Source organism: Homo sapiens, chromosome 1, assembly GCF_000001405.40.
Source record: "Homo sapiens chromosome 1, GRCh38.p14 Primary Assembly".
Classification (NCBI taxonomy): domain Eukaryota; kingdom Metazoa; phylum Chordata; class Mammalia; order Primates; family Hominidae; genus Homo; species Homo sapiens.
In genome coordinates, this window is record NC_000001.11 from 231207916 (window position 1) to 231222369 (window position 14454).

Here is a 14454-nt window from a genome sequence, read left to right on the forward strand (position 1 = left end):
TGAGCTTTGTGATTTTGGCCACATCACTTCACCTCTCTGTGTCTCAAATCTCCCACCCATGAGGTGGCTCATCAATATCGATTTCCTCCTGTACTTTTTTTTTTTTTTTTTTGAGATGAAGTCCCACTCTGTTGCCCAGGCTGGAGTGCAATGGCACAATCTTGGCTCACTGCAACCTCTGCCAACCTGTTCAAGTGATTGTCCTGCCTCAGCCTCCCAAGCAGCTGGGACTATAGGCGCCCACCACCATGTCCAGCGAATTTTTTTTTTTTTTTTGAGACAGAGTCTTGATCTGTCGCCCAAGCTGGAGTGTAGTGGCGTGATCATGGCTCACTGCAAGCTCTGTCTCCCAGGTTCACACCTTTCTCCTGCCTCAGCCTCCCGAGTGGCTGGGACTACAGGCACCTGCCACCACGCCCGGCTAATTTTTTTGTATTTTTAGTAGAGACAGGGTTTCACTGTGTTAGCCAGGATGGTCTTGATCTCCTGACCTCGTGATCCTCCCGCCTCGGCCTCCCAAAGTGCTGGGATTACAGGTGTGAACCACCATGCCCGGCCACGAATTTTTGTATTTTTAGTAGAGACGGAGTTTAACCATGCTGGCCAGGCTGGTCTCAAACCGCTGACCTGAGGTGATCCACCCACCTCGGCTTCCCAAAGTGCTGGGATTACAGGCGTGGACCACTGCTCCCAGGCTATTTCCTCCTGTATTTCTAACTGTGAGCATTTGGAAGGGTTTTAGAAACCAAGACCAGAAAATGCATCTAGATTTGAGGTTTTGAGGCCTGAAAATCCTTGGCAAGGCCAGGCTCGTAGGGCTGGCAACTTGGATGAACACAGAGCAGGGAGTGTGTGCATGTGTGTACGTTTGTGTGTGTGTGCACGTGTGTGGTAATCATACAGGAAAGACCCTTCACTTCTGGGTGCCGACTTTCTAACAGAAGCGAATGTGTTTGTGTCTCTGAGCCGGTTAGAAACTACTAGCAAATTCCATCCCCTGACCCTGCTCCTCTCACCTCCTCCCTTTTTAGTGGCCTGGTTCACATTTGACCCCAACTCTGGGCATCGGGACATCATTTTATCCAATGACAACCAGACAGCCACCTGCAGCAGCTATGACGACCGGGTGGTGCTGGGCACAGCTGCGTTCTCCAAGGGCGTGCACTACTGGGAGCTGCACGTGGACCGGTACGACAACCACCCAGACCCCGCCTTCGGGGTGGCCAGGGCCAGCGTGGTCAAGGACATGATGCTGGGCAAGGATGACAAGGCCTGGGCCATGTATGTGGACAACAACCGCAGCTGGTTCATGCACTGCAACTCCCACACCAACAGGTGCGATTGGGCCCCATCCTGCCTCCCGTGGACACAGGTTGTTTGGGAATGAGGGTCCTGAAGACCAGTGTCCCTTCTGCTGTCCCCAAAGCCAGGAGGAATTGAGAGGAGGTATTTTCAGCCACTTTGGTCTCCATTTTCTAGGAGGCCTTCACTCTGCCCATATAGAACTGGCCTGCAGCCCAGATGAGGGTATGTTATGGTGACTCTCACAGCACCCGCACAGATGGGTCTCCCAAGTTACCCAGCGGGCCACACGGTGGTCCTCTGCTGGGATATGGAGCTCGTAGTTTTCTTTCTGGTACGGCTTCACTTTCCTTTTCAACTGTCAACCCAAGCTTGGGTTGCTGCAGGGTGTTAATGGGCACCACTGGGGCTGGTGTCCTCACAGCTGTGACCAGGTCATTGCCACTAACTTGCCTGCAGTGATCCTGGCCACTGCCCTGGTCTCATGTGGGCTTGAGCCTCGGCAGGGCCGGGCCCTTGACAGGGCAGTAGCAGAGGGCATGGCTGGGGTGCTCACTACTAACGAGCCTGCCAAGGGTGCCCACAGCTGTGGCTTTGCCCTGAGACTGGCCCTGGGAGTAGGGTCACCAGCATGGACACAGGAGACTCAGGTCCTGGCCTGTGAAACTACTGGGACCTCTGTTAGGAGGGCAGATGGGGATGGGTCCTCCAGGGCTGCCCCTGAGGCCTGGGCTTCTCTAGGGTGCCTTGGTCTCTCTCCTCAGACACAAAGAAGGCAGTGCCCCCCCAACACCCCTGCACCATAGCTCTGTACTCTTTCTCCTCTCCCAGGGATTTTGTGCTCACACCTGGCCAGCATGTGGGGATGGACGTGGGGGTGAAGAATCCCCAAGGCCAGAAATGGAGAGTTGCAAGTTGCAGCCACCTGAAGCCACCTCCTTGCTATGGAGCCTTGCTCCTGGTCTGCTAAGGGCCATCTCCCCAGCAGGAAGGGGTGAGGAACTTCAAGAGCTGACCTTGACTTCGCTGGGCCCCAGCCCCAGGCAAAATTGACCCGGAGGCTCTCAGTGCTCTGGGCCCACCTGCAGCTCCTATAACAGCCCCTGGGGCACCTTCCCGCAGAGGAAGGACCAGCTTCTTCTTTCTCAGGGAAGCCACGTCTAATCTGGGCCAGGGACTTGCCTGAGGGCCCTCAGGACCCCATCTGCTTGCCTCTTTGCTTGTAGGCAGGGCCCCTTCTCTCCTGAGTCCTGGGGAAGAGGCGGGCAGCTCTGTGCCTCTGCCCGGACACTGCAGGCTGGCCACTCTCCCTCCCACCCACAGAGGGGCCAAGTCCAGGCCCATCAGCTCCGTCTCTGCTTGCTTAAACCAAACTGGCACCCAGATACCCTGTTTGCTGGCAGGAGTGATAACAAGAAGCATTTATCAAACCCTTACTTGTGCTCAATGCTGTAGGAAGCACTCGATGTATCTGAGCTCATTTAATCCTTGCAAAGGTACTATTATTGTTGCCATTTTACAGATTATAAAACTGGGGCTTAGGCTGGAATGGTGGCTTGCACCTGCAATCCCAGCACTTAAGGAGGCCGAGGCAGAAGGATTGCTTGAGCCCAGGTGTTTGAGACCAGCCTGGGCAACTTAGTGAGACCCTGTCTCTGTAAATAATAGTAATTTTAAAAATTAGCCAGGCATGGTGCTGTGTACCTGTAGTTTCAGCTACTTGGGAGGCCGAGGCAGGAGGATCGCTTGTGCCCAGGAGTTCAAGACCAGCCTGGGCAATATAGTGAGACCCTCCTCTCTACCAAAAAAAAAAAATATATATATATATATATATTTTGTTTGTTTGTTTAATATATATATTAAAAAGCCTGGGCTTAGGAAGGTCAGACAACGGCTCGGGTCACGCGGCTAGTTGATACTGTCAGGGTTGAGCCCAGGACCCCAGCCTTGGTTTGTGTGGTGCAGACTCCCCAGCTCTCCTGGCCATTGGCCACCACACCCCTCCCAAGGGCTGCGGAGCACTTCTTGGGCCTTTGCTGTCTTTGACAGCCCCTTGGTGCCACCTCAGTAAGAAAAGCAGAAGGGAAGTGAGGCCATGAGAAGGTAGAGAGAACCTGCCCCTGTCTGCATGTCCTCCCACCCTCGGATGTGGATCGGGTAGGGTAAGCGCTATCTGGGAGGAAGCCGAGGCAGCCGGGAAGTTGGACCCCAGAGCTGACTGGGGGCCTGAGGCTTTGCTTAGGTTGGACTCATTCCTGCACCTCCCATGGGTCACTACCGCCACCCGGTGGTCGGTGTCCAAATAGCATCAACAGTGCGGTTTTAGTTTCCTTCTCCCACCTGCCGGATCCCGCCCCGGGCACCCTCGGGGGAAACCCTGCCTTCTCCGGAAACACCTGTCTGGGCCGCCCACCAAGTCCTCCTCGGGACTTCCTGTCGTGAATCCTCGCTGCTCACCTTCCCTCTGCCCTACCAGCAGCGTCCAGCAGATCAACTCATTATCAATCTGGAAGGACAAACATGGTTTTCTTAGCAGAGTGGCGCTGCTAAGGTTAAGGCTAAGACCTCAGCCCTGAGCGGGCGCGGTGGCTCAAGCCTGTGGTCTCAGCTACTCAGGAGGCTGAGGCAGGAGGATCCCTTGAGCCCAGGAGTCCAAGACCAGCATGGGCAACATAGTGAGGCCCTCGTCTCTATAAAATAATTTAAAAATTAGCCGGGCATGGTGTGTGCCTGTAGTCCTGTTGTACCTAGGCGAGTTAAGGAAACGCTACACTTTGAGACGAATTAAGAGTCCTTTATTAAGCCGGTGGCCAAAGAGACAGCTAATGCTCAAAATTCTCTCGGCCACGAGTAACGAGCTCGATTAACTTTTATACTTAGGTTTAGGAAGGGGAGGGGGACTCAAATGTAATAATTCTACAGAAGTAAAAACATGCAAGAATCAAAAGAAGCAAAATAGTTACAGAGAGATAAACAACTTGAAAGACAAATAGTTACAAGAAGAGCAACGGTACCAGGTGCAAGGTTCTAAATCTTTCATTATAATTAGATATAAGGTCTATGCCGGACACGAACTCAAGGTTTTATGTTGTTATCTCTTAGAGAAAAATCCTAAGAACTTCATACATTGTTGGTGTTAGTACCTTATCAGTTAATTGGGCTCTTTTGAAATGCTGAGGATCTGTTTACCCAGGCCAACTCCTTACGGAAGGGGGTTAGGTGAGGAGCCTTTAGTGTCTTGTAAATTAAAAGGTCAATTGGAGTTTGTCCAGCCTTCCCAGCTAGAGAGAGTCTTATTTACATGAGAAGCAAGGCTAGGTGATTAAAGAGACAAGCAGGACAAAATTCAAAGTAACAAGTTAGAGTAAAAAGGTTAGGCGTTTCAGTCCCAGCTATTCGGGAGGCTGAGGTGGGAGGATCCGTTGAGCCCAGGGGTTCCAGGCAACGGTGAGCCATGATTGCACCACTGCCTGGGCCACAGGGAGAAACAGCCACTCTAAAACAAAAAACCACCTCAAGGAAGGGAAGGAGAGTCTGCAGGATTCGGCCCATGGGAGAAGATGTGGTCAGCCAAGCCCCCCCTTGGGAGCATGTTCCTTACTTTTATTATAGATTCACTTCCACCGAGTGGATGTGAATTCTTACCACCTACAAAGTACGACGTTGCCAACACTGATCAAGAGCACAATGGACATTCTCAACGTTCCGCTATTGGTCACCTGAGGGATAATGACTGCGACAGAGGACTTGATTTCAACTTCAGCACCCTTCTGCCTGCCATACGCTGCTTTTTGAGGGACCCTAGGATGTTTCTGGGAAGATGAGCCAATGTTGAGTAGGGGCCTTTCAAAATTTCCTGAAGGCCTGGATGTCCACATCTTCATCGACCTCAGCATCCTCACTTGCCTAAAACAGAAAAGGGCGCCAAGTCAGTTATTTTCTTTGGCAGGAAAAGGTGCCTTTCTTACCCATTCTCCATGCTCCACAGTTTCAAATGGGACCTTCTCATCAAAACCCGAATTTTCTAGTGCGCAGATCCCAGATGCTGTCAGAAAGAGGGGGTTGAACAGCCTGGAGGTGTTCCTCTAGGGGAGTCTTCATCATGGCCTGTTAACAAGGTGTGTCCACTGTGAGAGAAGGCTCATGTGCCCAGGAGAGCACCTCACCACCACCTTGGGGACTATGTTTAAGTGAGGTTGTTCCCAGCATCCTATATATAATTTTCTTGGCCGGGTACAGTGGCTCATGCCTTTAATCCCAGCACTTTGGAAGTCCAAAATGGGAAGATCGCTTGAGCCTAGGAGTTCAAGACCAGCCTGGGTAACATAGTGAGACTCCTATCTCTACAAAAAACACAAACAAAATTAGCTGGGTCTCATGTCATGCGCCTGTAGTCCCAGCTACTCGGGAGGCTGAGGTGGGAGGATCTCCTGAGCCTGGGAGGGCGAGGCTGTTGTGCACCGAGATGGCGTCACTGCACTCCAGCCTGGGTGACAGAGTGAGACCGTGTCTCTAAATAAGTAAATAATTCTCCTGAGTTATCACCTACATCCCAGGCTGGGTGTGGTGATGGTCTTCCTGGGGACTCTCTTCCCAGGACGGAAGGTGGCGTGTGCAAGGGGGCCACCGTGGGCGTGCTGCTGGACCTGAATAAGCACACTCTCACCTTCTTCATCAACGGGCAGCAGCAGGGCCCCACAGCCTTCAGCCACGTGGACGGGGTCTTCATGCCAGCCCTCAGCCTCAACCGCAACGTGCAGGTACACACCTCCCCAGGGCCGGACCTGGTCTGGCTGCTCCCAACTGTTTGCCACAGGTCTCTGCAGTGCCCTTGGGCAGAGTGGGCCATAAAGAAGCTGACCACAGAGCCTTCCCAGACAGAGCTTATCAACTGGCCTGCCTTGGACATTTCCTGGAGGCGTTCCGTTCTAACCTGTTCACTTGGGACACCCAGGGGCCCTAAGGTGGCAGCTTCTGGAGACGCAGACCTCAGGACTGAGCTCAGTCCCTGGGGAGTGCTGGTAGCTCAGGAGGCCTGAAACAGAGAGAGACAAGAATGAGAGCCCAGGAGGGTGTGAGGAAGGGAGAAACACGGAGGTGCCATCCTTCGTCTTAGTAGAGTCCTCCTCCCCTTGGGATGGGGAGTTGGAGTGTGGGGAGCAAGGTCCTGTTTTGTGGCCCTGAATATTGAGGAGTCTACATCAATCACTGATTGATCGATTCGATCCTCTACTCATTTGCAAAAGGGATTTGTGGCAACCTAAAAGATAGGCTTATGGCCGGGCGCGGTGGCTTACGCCTGTAATCCCAGCACTTTGGGAGGCCAAGGCAGGCGGATCACGAGGTCAGGAGATCGAGACCATCCTGGCTAACACGGTGAAACCCTGTCTCTACTAAAAATACAAAAAAAAAATAGCTGGGCATGGTAGCGGGTGCCTGTAGTCCCAGCTACTCAGGAGGCTGAGGTAGGAGAATGGCATGAACCCGGGAGGCGGAGCTTCCAGTGAGCCGAGATCGCACCACTGCACTCCAGCCTGGGTGATAGAGCGAGACTTCATCTCAAAAAAAAAAAAAAAAAAAAAAAAGATAGGCTTAGGCTTGGCCTGACATGGTGGCTCACGCCTGTAACTCCAGTACTTTGGGAGGCCATGGCAGGAGAATCGCTTGAGCCCAGAAGTTTGAGACCAGCCTGGGGAATGAACAAGACACCATCTCTACCAATGAACAGATAAGCTTTTTTTAATCCAAAAAATAAGAGGTTGGCTATAATTCCTCACAGTTAATAGAATGGGTTTAATAGGAAAGGAAAGAAGGTCATGGCTAGAAAGTAGACACAAATATGTAACCACGGGAGCCAGTGCGTGAGAGCCGTGCTCCTGTGATGGCGTCTACTTTGCCCAGCTGTGGCAGCTCTGGCAAAATGAGGAACCAGTCAGCTGGGTGATTCTTATTATGAGGAAAGAGGTGCAAACCAACATAGCCTTTAATTAGGAATACTGGGGGACGTAATATTCAACAGTCCACAGCAGCCCTGAGCTATTGCATGGATGGCCCTGGAGCCAGCAGGGGATCCTGCCGGTGTCTGCGGTGCTGTCAGAGCCCTCAGGGTCCCTGCGGCAGCCTCTCCCACCCTCACTTGCCCTGTCTTCTTTTCCAGGTCACCCTGCACACAGGATTGGAAGTGCCGACTAACCTGGGGCGGCCAAAGCTGTCAGGCAATTAGCCCCGCTCCAGCTCGGCACTGTGCCTGTGACAGTGACATTCACAGGCAAAACGCCCACCATTCTCACTAAGCTCAAATAACCCACAAAAGCAGGATATGCAAATCATGGGTGCAACCTGGCAGCGTGGAGTGTCATAGAAACACATTTTCTTGGGGACGCAGGGAATGGGTCCACGGGCCATGCTCACAGCTGCCACTGTCAGTGGCAAAGGAAGGTACGTGTGTCACCCTTATTCCACCCAGACATTACGAACACTCCCCAAGAAGGACCTTTCTCAAGGGAGTCAGCATTCGGGCTTCATGTCTATGTTTCCTGCCATCTGTTTTCAAAGCTTGTCTTTTTTTGGAGGGAGAGGAAGGTAGACTTTGAGACTGGCCTCCTGAGAGCGGCAGTCAGGAGCTGCGCTGTAATCCCACGCCCCGGGTGTTGGCCCTCCGTGGGGACCTTGCCTCCTCAGAGTCCCGAGATTGCAGATTCTCATCATGCTGAGAAAGTTATCTTTTAGCTTCTTGGTCCTAGAGTCTTTAGTAGCACCTGCCACTTGCAGACCCAATGCAGGATTGATAGAAAGGGACATTAATCATTCATGCTTGACTTTTGCCTCTCTCACTGAAGTGTTAGAACCTTTTAAAATGGCTTCCTTTATTAATCAGCCAATTGTGTTCTCTCTCTCTCTTCCTCCATCCTTCATTTCTTCTCCCTCCCTCCTTCTCTTTCTCTCTTCTTCTCTCTCTCCTTCCTTCCCTCCTTTGCTCTCTCTTTCTTCCTTTCCTCCTTCTCTCTTACTTTCCTCCATCCCTGCCTCTTTCTTCCCTCTTTCGCTCTCTTTCCCTCCCTCCTTCTCTCTCTCTCTCACACACACACAGGCATGACAGTCTCCTAAAATTAATTCACTCAGTTCTTAGTTCTTAAATCCACGTGAAAACACAAGAATTTTAACAACTATGTCATAGGTCTTCGCCTGGTGATGGCTCCTTTCTGAAACTGGCAGCCCAAGAAGTTAACTGAAAATGCATCCAGATTGCTCTTCTGAGCTGAACCACTCTCAGACTCATAAGCATTTAAAATGGGAGACCCTGGGAAAGCCTGTTCTAGTCAGTCCACCCTATTGTCATTATGAAAGCATCATGAACACAAGTGGCCCCTGTGGCAGGCCGGGACGGCTCTGCCCTGATGCAGTGGGCGGGATCTCTGGGGAAGGCAGGAAATAGAAGGGCAGTATCAGGTACCTTGTCTCCCAGCTTCCCACTGTGAGACTGGGTGTGCCGAGTCTGACCTGCCAGGGCAGGACTCTGGAAACACCAGGCTTCTCCCTTGAGATCCACATTGATTCATCCACACCTCTCAGAGACAGCTCATGGCAGGGGTTTTGAGCCTGCCAGGCTCTTGTTCCCAGGGAACCCTTCCTCTCCTCCCTCCTCTCATCTTCCCAGTCACCTGCCACCTCCAGCTCCACCTGGTAGTAACATTTCTCTCTCCTTTTAAAAAGAATATATTTTGTCAAGCATTTTATTTCTGAGGCTGAGAAGTGACTTGTCAATTTGCTGGACTGGATTTTTATAAAATTCGCCCATTCACCAGCACCAACTGTGCGTCCTTGGTTCTGCCTTCCTGTTCAGACACCGCGCCTGCTTTCTGAGTAACTGCCTGCCGGAGCCATGCAGGTACCCCCCCTCCACTCAGCAGGCCCGACAATCCTACCTCAAAGCTCATGCTCTTGGTCTGCAAGGCTGCTTGGTCCGCTGTCTCTGCAGATGTGGCCGGCAAGGCCAGCTGCCCCGTCTCCAGGAGCTGCTCGGTGCTGTGTTGCAGTCTCTGCTGCGGAGCCTGGGAGCTATCTGCTTCATGGAAGTCTAGGTCTTGCCTCTTCCTTGTCATCTCACCAAGCGGTTTCTGGGTCTCCTCCTCCCATCCCAGAGCCCTGTCCAGAGCTCTTGGTGGTGACACACAAGACCTGGGACCCTGTGTCCTTGCCCGCACCTCTGCCTCTGTCTCCCATATCCCTGCAGCTTCATCCTTAGCCATAGCTCTGGGTGGCCTTTGCTTGGAGCATGGAGACGATCCCTAAAGATTGAGGATGAAGAGGAGCCACCACTTTCCTGGGGCCAAGGAAGCCATCAGCTTTGGGAAGTGTCTAGCTCTCTTCTGAAAAAAAAACAGGCCTACACCCTGCCCCCAGAATGAGAGTGGGCTAGGCAGGGCTGCCTGGTGACAGCAGCTTCTCACAGGGGAGCCCTGGGGAAGGCTGTGGAGCCTCCACCATCACCACAGCCCAGGTCACCAGGTGGCCCCAGCTCTGCAGAAGAATCGCCCATCATTGGAGCACAAGTTGCCTGGGGCTACCCTGAACCTAACCCCTTTGAGGGAGCAGCATCCAGGTCAGGAGAGAAGTGGAAAGTGCAGGAGGGTAATGCCCTCAAATCCGGTGGCCTCTTTCAGAAAAAAGTTCCCTGAAGTCCAGAGAGGTGCAGCCAGGACTCCCTCCTCCCCACTGCCACCCTGAGCTTGGGGGCTGGGATTCTCCCTTTTCTGACTCCTCCAGGAGCCCAGAAGCAATACGGCCGATGCCAGGGACAGCATCCAGCTCTCCTTCACAGACACCTCTCCTGTCTTCAGCACAAAACACCTTCAATGTTCTGACTTCAAAGAGAACGACAGGTCCGTGCCACACACTTGTGTTTTTGAGGGATCAGAAAAGTGAAGAAGGAACTTATCAATTCCTCATGGCCAGGAAGGTCCCGGGTTTCAGAGTAGAAATGACAGACAGGTCATGGAATTCTCATCCACCATCGAATTCCATAACACGTTACATCATGGTGGCACATTTGTACATACATATAAATGATATCAAGATGAGGCTTTTGTTGGGCTGGCTGAGGAGTAACTTGGTGTAAATCTATCAAGCAGTTTCAGTGAAAAAGGAATTCAAAGTAGTTTAAAAATGTCGAGTTCCATTGCATTGTAAATAGTGCCTCTGTAATGTGGTTCTGCAGTTGTTCTTTGCTAGTGAGCAAGCTTGGTCAAAGTGTATGCCTTTTCCTTTTAAAATTAATCTCTTCCGAAAATATCCACTAGCACCTCACTGCATACATAGCATCCCAGCTCCTAATTCAAAGCAGGGGAAGGTATTTCCCCAAAGCCTGCTTTTCCTCTCTCTGTTCTCCTTGGGAAAATAATGATTCCAATTAAAGAGGACACCAGTAATACTGACCCACAAGGTAACTGACCTAAACACTATAAAACTGTATATATTTCCAGGCTGCATCTTCAGCCTGATATGTACTTTGTAGTTGCAACAGCGCCCTAGGTGCCCTATGGCCCACCAAGTTTGAGGAGGGTGGTGCTTTCCGGATTGAGCCTGGGCAGGCTCTGTGGAGCTCACCAAGAGAGCTGGGGGCAGGCCCACCCTCCTCTTTGCGCCCTTTCTCTCCCTCTTGGTGCCCCTGCCCTCCGCCCCACCACAGCACTCTCAGGAAAGGATCAGAATGCAGGATCTTTGTGTATTTCTTCCAGGGATATTTGCATTTAAGCCTTAATTCTCATTGCAAGCGAAAGGCTTGGTCCCCCTGGGAAGGCGGGTTTCGGCACCGGTGGGCAGGTGGTTCAGTGTCAAGGAGGCTGCTGCTGGTCCCATGGCCACCTGCTGGCTTTGAGGTAGTGAGGGAGGGTCAATCCTTAGGGGGAGTCAACATGTGAATGCTAAAGAACACTGCTGCACAGCCCGTGGGGTGGCGCCAGGGTTTCTCAACCTCTACTGACATTTTGCGATAGGTTCTGTATGCCGTAGGATGTTTAGCAACATCCCTGGTCTCTACCCATCATCTGCCAGTAGCAACCCCCAAGTTAGGTGTGACAACCAAAAGTATCTGTCGACATTGCTAGGTATCTCCTGGGGGCCTCCACAAGTTGAGAACCACCAGGTTATGCCAGTGGTTTGTCATGCATGGATCTGTAGAGGGACTGTGGCGCTCCGGCTGCTTTGTTCCATAGAAAGCCTGTATGTGACAAAGCTGCCAGCCTTTATCTTGATACCCAAGCCCAGGATTTTCCATGTGTCTTCAGGGGGCAGGTAGGGGAAAATGGGGTGAGCCACCTCCAACAGATGCCAACCTGTTGGGTCTTGAATTTTCACTCACTGAAGATGCCCCCTGCCCGCTCCCCACTTCCTAGAAAGCAAAACTCGTTACCTTTGTTTTCCTTGGCCACATTTTACTGGAAGCAACAGGAACTTCTTAATGGGTTTGTGGCCCTCAATTGGTTTTTAAAAAAATCTAACAGATCTTATTGGCAAATATTCAAGATGGTGATGCTGGAAAATTTCAGGACTTTTCTTTTGCAAGTGAGCCGGTAGCTGTGTTTGTTGACCACATTCTTTGGCAGTTCCTCCCAGAAGATCAAAGGATCCTGCAGCTTTAACCTAATATCTAGGCTGTAAAAATATGAGGGCAGGTTTCGGGCAGGATGTATTGATCAGACACCAAGTTCAGCCCTCGGTTACTTCCCTCTTTTAACCTGGCTTTAATAGTGATTCATGGTATGAGTGGGGGCCAATCTCTTATCCTTTCTGTGCCTCAGTATCCCCACCTGAAATGAGACTAGTCATACTAACCTACCTCCTCTGATGTATTGTGAGGATTATACAATAACATTTTTAAAGAAAAAAAGTGCAGTCTTTCATCTCTGGCATCTAAGCTAATGATTCCCATTCAGTGACTCAAACCTGTGGGGGGCGTTCCAGTGTTCTCTGACCAGTGTCTTCCATCCAAGCCTCCTTGTGACCAGGGCAAGGAGCTGCCTGGCCTCCAGTGGGTAAAATAGACCTTTAAGACAGGTTTCCTATGACCATAGAAAGTAACACCCCATATGTTTCCATTCCCGGCGAGGCCTGTTTGAATGGCGCTCTGTGTGAGTGCTATGAACAGGCTACCTGTCAGCAGTCTCACTGCGAGGCCTCAAGGCCTCTGTGAGCAGAAGCCCCTTTAAACCAAGGAAGGACACTAACCCAGGCCTCTGCCTTCTTTGTTACCTAAGTTCTGGTATCTAAGGGGTCTCTCATCTCACAGCTTGCCTCCTTTGTTTCGAGGGGTCTCTGCAGTGTGAATGGGTTTGAAATCCAGTGTGGATAGCACGAAGAGATGCAACTGAGCCGAAGTTTTGAAGGCTGGTTGGGCTAGTGGGTCATCATGTCACTTTCAGATGACTGATAACCGCTGGGACTGCTGGGGCTTCACCAGCACGAGCTATGCAGGTTGGGGGAGGCCCTGGCTTTTTCAATGATTGACGTTGACATCAGTCAGGAGCTGGGAGTTGAGACCTCCAGGGAAGTCTCGTCCGGATCCATCGCTCTTCTCTCAAGGAGCACAGTCCTGGGAAAGGCCTAGGGACCTGTGGGCCGGTGATGCGGGCACTGCAGACCAGGCCAGGCCCTCGGGTAAAGCTCTGAGGAGAGGCCAAAACCAGGCTTCAGGTTCGGGAAGGTGACTGCTTGCAACTGCAGTAGCAGGAACATGTCAGGTGCTTACTGGGTGAGACCCAGCCGGGGAAGCCTCTCCAACTCCTCCTAGCCCTGGAAACCAGACACCCAGAGCCCCAGGCTTTCTCGGCACCCAGAAGAAGTGGGGAGCGGGCAAAGCAGAAAACATTCAATGCATGATGTAGGATTGCTGCGTTGGCACTAAGCTGTTGTATTAAGCATGAGAGGTGTTTGTTTAACGTTGGCAAAGGGATTTAACAAGAAACAAAAAGCTTCGCGTCCTTGTTTTGACCGTCGACAGAAGTCCAATTTTCTTGCCTTTCTTTATCCCCATTTCTCCTCCCTCCCCTTCCCCCATCACATCCACTTTCGGTCACTCGTTGTTGGTATTTGGTGGCAGCTCTTGGTCCTATTGCTGTGGATGTTCCACTGAAAACACGGGGGGTAGCGGGGAGTGGTAAGGAAAGCAACTTTTTTCTAATTTTTGTATTGGTATCCACAAGCGTTTGTATTTTTTGAATTGCAAACACTGTGTTTTCTGGTCTTTGGGGGTTAGTTGAACTTTCTGTATTACCTTTTGGAAAACCTGAGTTTTACCACAGTCTTAAGCAGATTTGAAATAAATTCTTTTGACACTGCCAACAACAGAAAGACAAGATGTGGTCTGTAATTCCTGCTCCGTGGTCAGGTCTGCCTTTTTCCCAACTGGCCCTGACTGCCCAGCAGACAGGGCAGAGGCTACAGGAGGGGAGGCCACACGGTCTCTTCCCCCAGTGGGGCTGGGCGTTACTAAGTAGCAGGGTCAATGTGGTTCTGCTTCGCGTGCCCAGGAAATCTCAGGGTGATTACATATGACTCTAAACTAGGCTGGGTGCTGTGGCTCACACCTGTAATCCCAGAACTTTGGGAGGCCAAGGCAGGCAGATCACTTGAGGCCAGGAGTTTGAGACCAGCCTGGGCAACATGGTGAAACTCCGTCTCTACCAAAAATACAAAAATTAGCCAGCCGTGGTGGTGCACCTGTAGTCCCAGCTACTCAGGAGGCTGAGGAGGGAGGATCGCTGGCGCCCTGGAGGTCAAGGCTGCAGTGAGCCATGATTGTGCCACTGCATTCCAGCCTGCGTGACAGAGCAAGACCCTGTGTTAAAAATTAAAAAAATAGCCACGCAGGGTGGCTCACACCTGTAATCTCAGCACTTTGGGAGGCTGAGGCGGGTAGATCACCTGAGGTCAGGAGTTCGAGACCAGCCTGGCCAACATGGTGAAACCCCGTCTCTACTAAAACAATACAAAAATTAGCCGGGTGTGGGGGCGCATGCCTGTAATCCCAGCTACTTGGGAGCTGAGGCAGGAGAATTGCTTGAACCCAAGAGGCGGAGGTTGCAGTGAGCCGAAATCGTGCCATTGCACTCCAGCCTGGGCAACAAGAGCTAAACTCCCTCTCAAAAAATATAA

At 51.6% G+C, this 14454-nt stretch overlaps 1 protein-coding gene across 3 annotated transcripts in view, besides 8 other annotated features; it reads left to right on the plus strand.

Annotated features, from left to right (window-relative positions):
- Positions 1-13650, plus strand: part of TRIM67 (tripartite motif containing 67) — a 59508-nt gene extending 45858 nt beyond the window's left edge. For all 3 annotated transcript variants that reach the window (NM_001004342.5, NM_001410937.1, NM_001300889.3), the window contains 3 exons: positions 1032-1335; positions 5900-6062; positions 7460-13650. In NM_001004342.5, coding sequence (NP_001004342.3) covers positions 1032-1335; positions 5900-6062; positions 7460-7525 — 533 coding nt within the window. In that variant the 3' untranslated portion in view covers positions 7526-13650. The remainder of the gene's footprint in view (positions 1-1031; positions 1336-5899; positions 6063-7459) is intronic.
- Positions 3421-3830: an enhancer, noted in NCBI's record as "active region_2722". NCBI's record gives its function as "activates an Ori minimal core promoter by ATAC-STARR-seq in GM12878 lymphoblastoid cells {active_cell/tissue: GM12878}" and the evidence as "EXISTENCE:reporter gene assay evidence [ECO:0000049][PMID:35858748]".
- Positions 3951-4010: an enhancer, noted in NCBI's record as "active region_2723". NCBI's record gives its function as "activates an Ori minimal core promoter by ATAC-STARR-seq in GM12878 lymphoblastoid cells {active_cell/tissue: GM12878}" and the evidence as "EXISTENCE:reporter gene assay evidence [ECO:0000049][PMID:35858748]".
- Positions 7046-7547: an enhancer, noted in NCBI's record as "H3K4me1 hESC enhancer chr1:231350707-231351208 (GRCh37/hg19 assembly coordinates)". NCBI's record gives its function as "activates a minimal SCP1, AML or CMV promoter by ChIP-STARR-seq in naive H9 embryonic stem cells {active_cell/tissue: H9 hESC(naive)}" and the evidence as "EXISTENCE:reporter gene assay evidence [ECO:0000049][PMID:30033119]".
- Positions 7046-7570: a biological region, named in NCBI's record as "H3K4me1 hESC enhancer GRCh37_chr1:231350707-231351208".
- Positions 7461-7570: an enhancer, noted in NCBI's record as "active region_2724". NCBI's record gives its function as "activates an Ori minimal core promoter by ATAC-STARR-seq in GM12878 lymphoblastoid cells {active_cell/tissue: GM12878}" and the evidence as "EXISTENCE:reporter gene assay evidence [ECO:0000049][PMID:35858748]".
- Positions 8671-8730: a silencer, noted in NCBI's record as "silent region_1949". NCBI's record gives its function as "represses an Ori minimal core promoter by ATAC-STARR-seq in GM12878 lymphoblastoid cells {active_cell/tissue: GM12878}" and the evidence as "EXISTENCE:reporter gene assay evidence [ECO:0000049][PMID:35858748]".
- Positions 9262-9761: an enhancer, noted in NCBI's record as "H3K4me1 hESC enhancer chr1:231352923-231353422 (GRCh37/hg19 assembly coordinates)". NCBI's record gives its function as "activates a minimal SCP1, AML or CMV promoter by ChIP-STARR-seq in primed H9 embryonic stem cells {active_cell/tissue: H9 hESC(primed)}" and the evidence as "EXISTENCE:reporter gene assay evidence [ECO:0000049][PMID:30033119]".
- Positions 12912-13412: an enhancer, noted in NCBI's record as "H3K4me1 hESC enhancer chr1:231356573-231357073 (GRCh37/hg19 assembly coordinates)". NCBI's record gives its function as "activates a minimal SCP1, AML or CMV promoter by ChIP-STARR-seq in primed H9 embryonic stem cells {active_cell/tissue: H9 hESC(primed)}" and the evidence as "EXISTENCE:reporter gene assay evidence [ECO:0000049][PMID:30033119]".
- Positions 13651-14454: the final 804 nt, after the last annotated feature.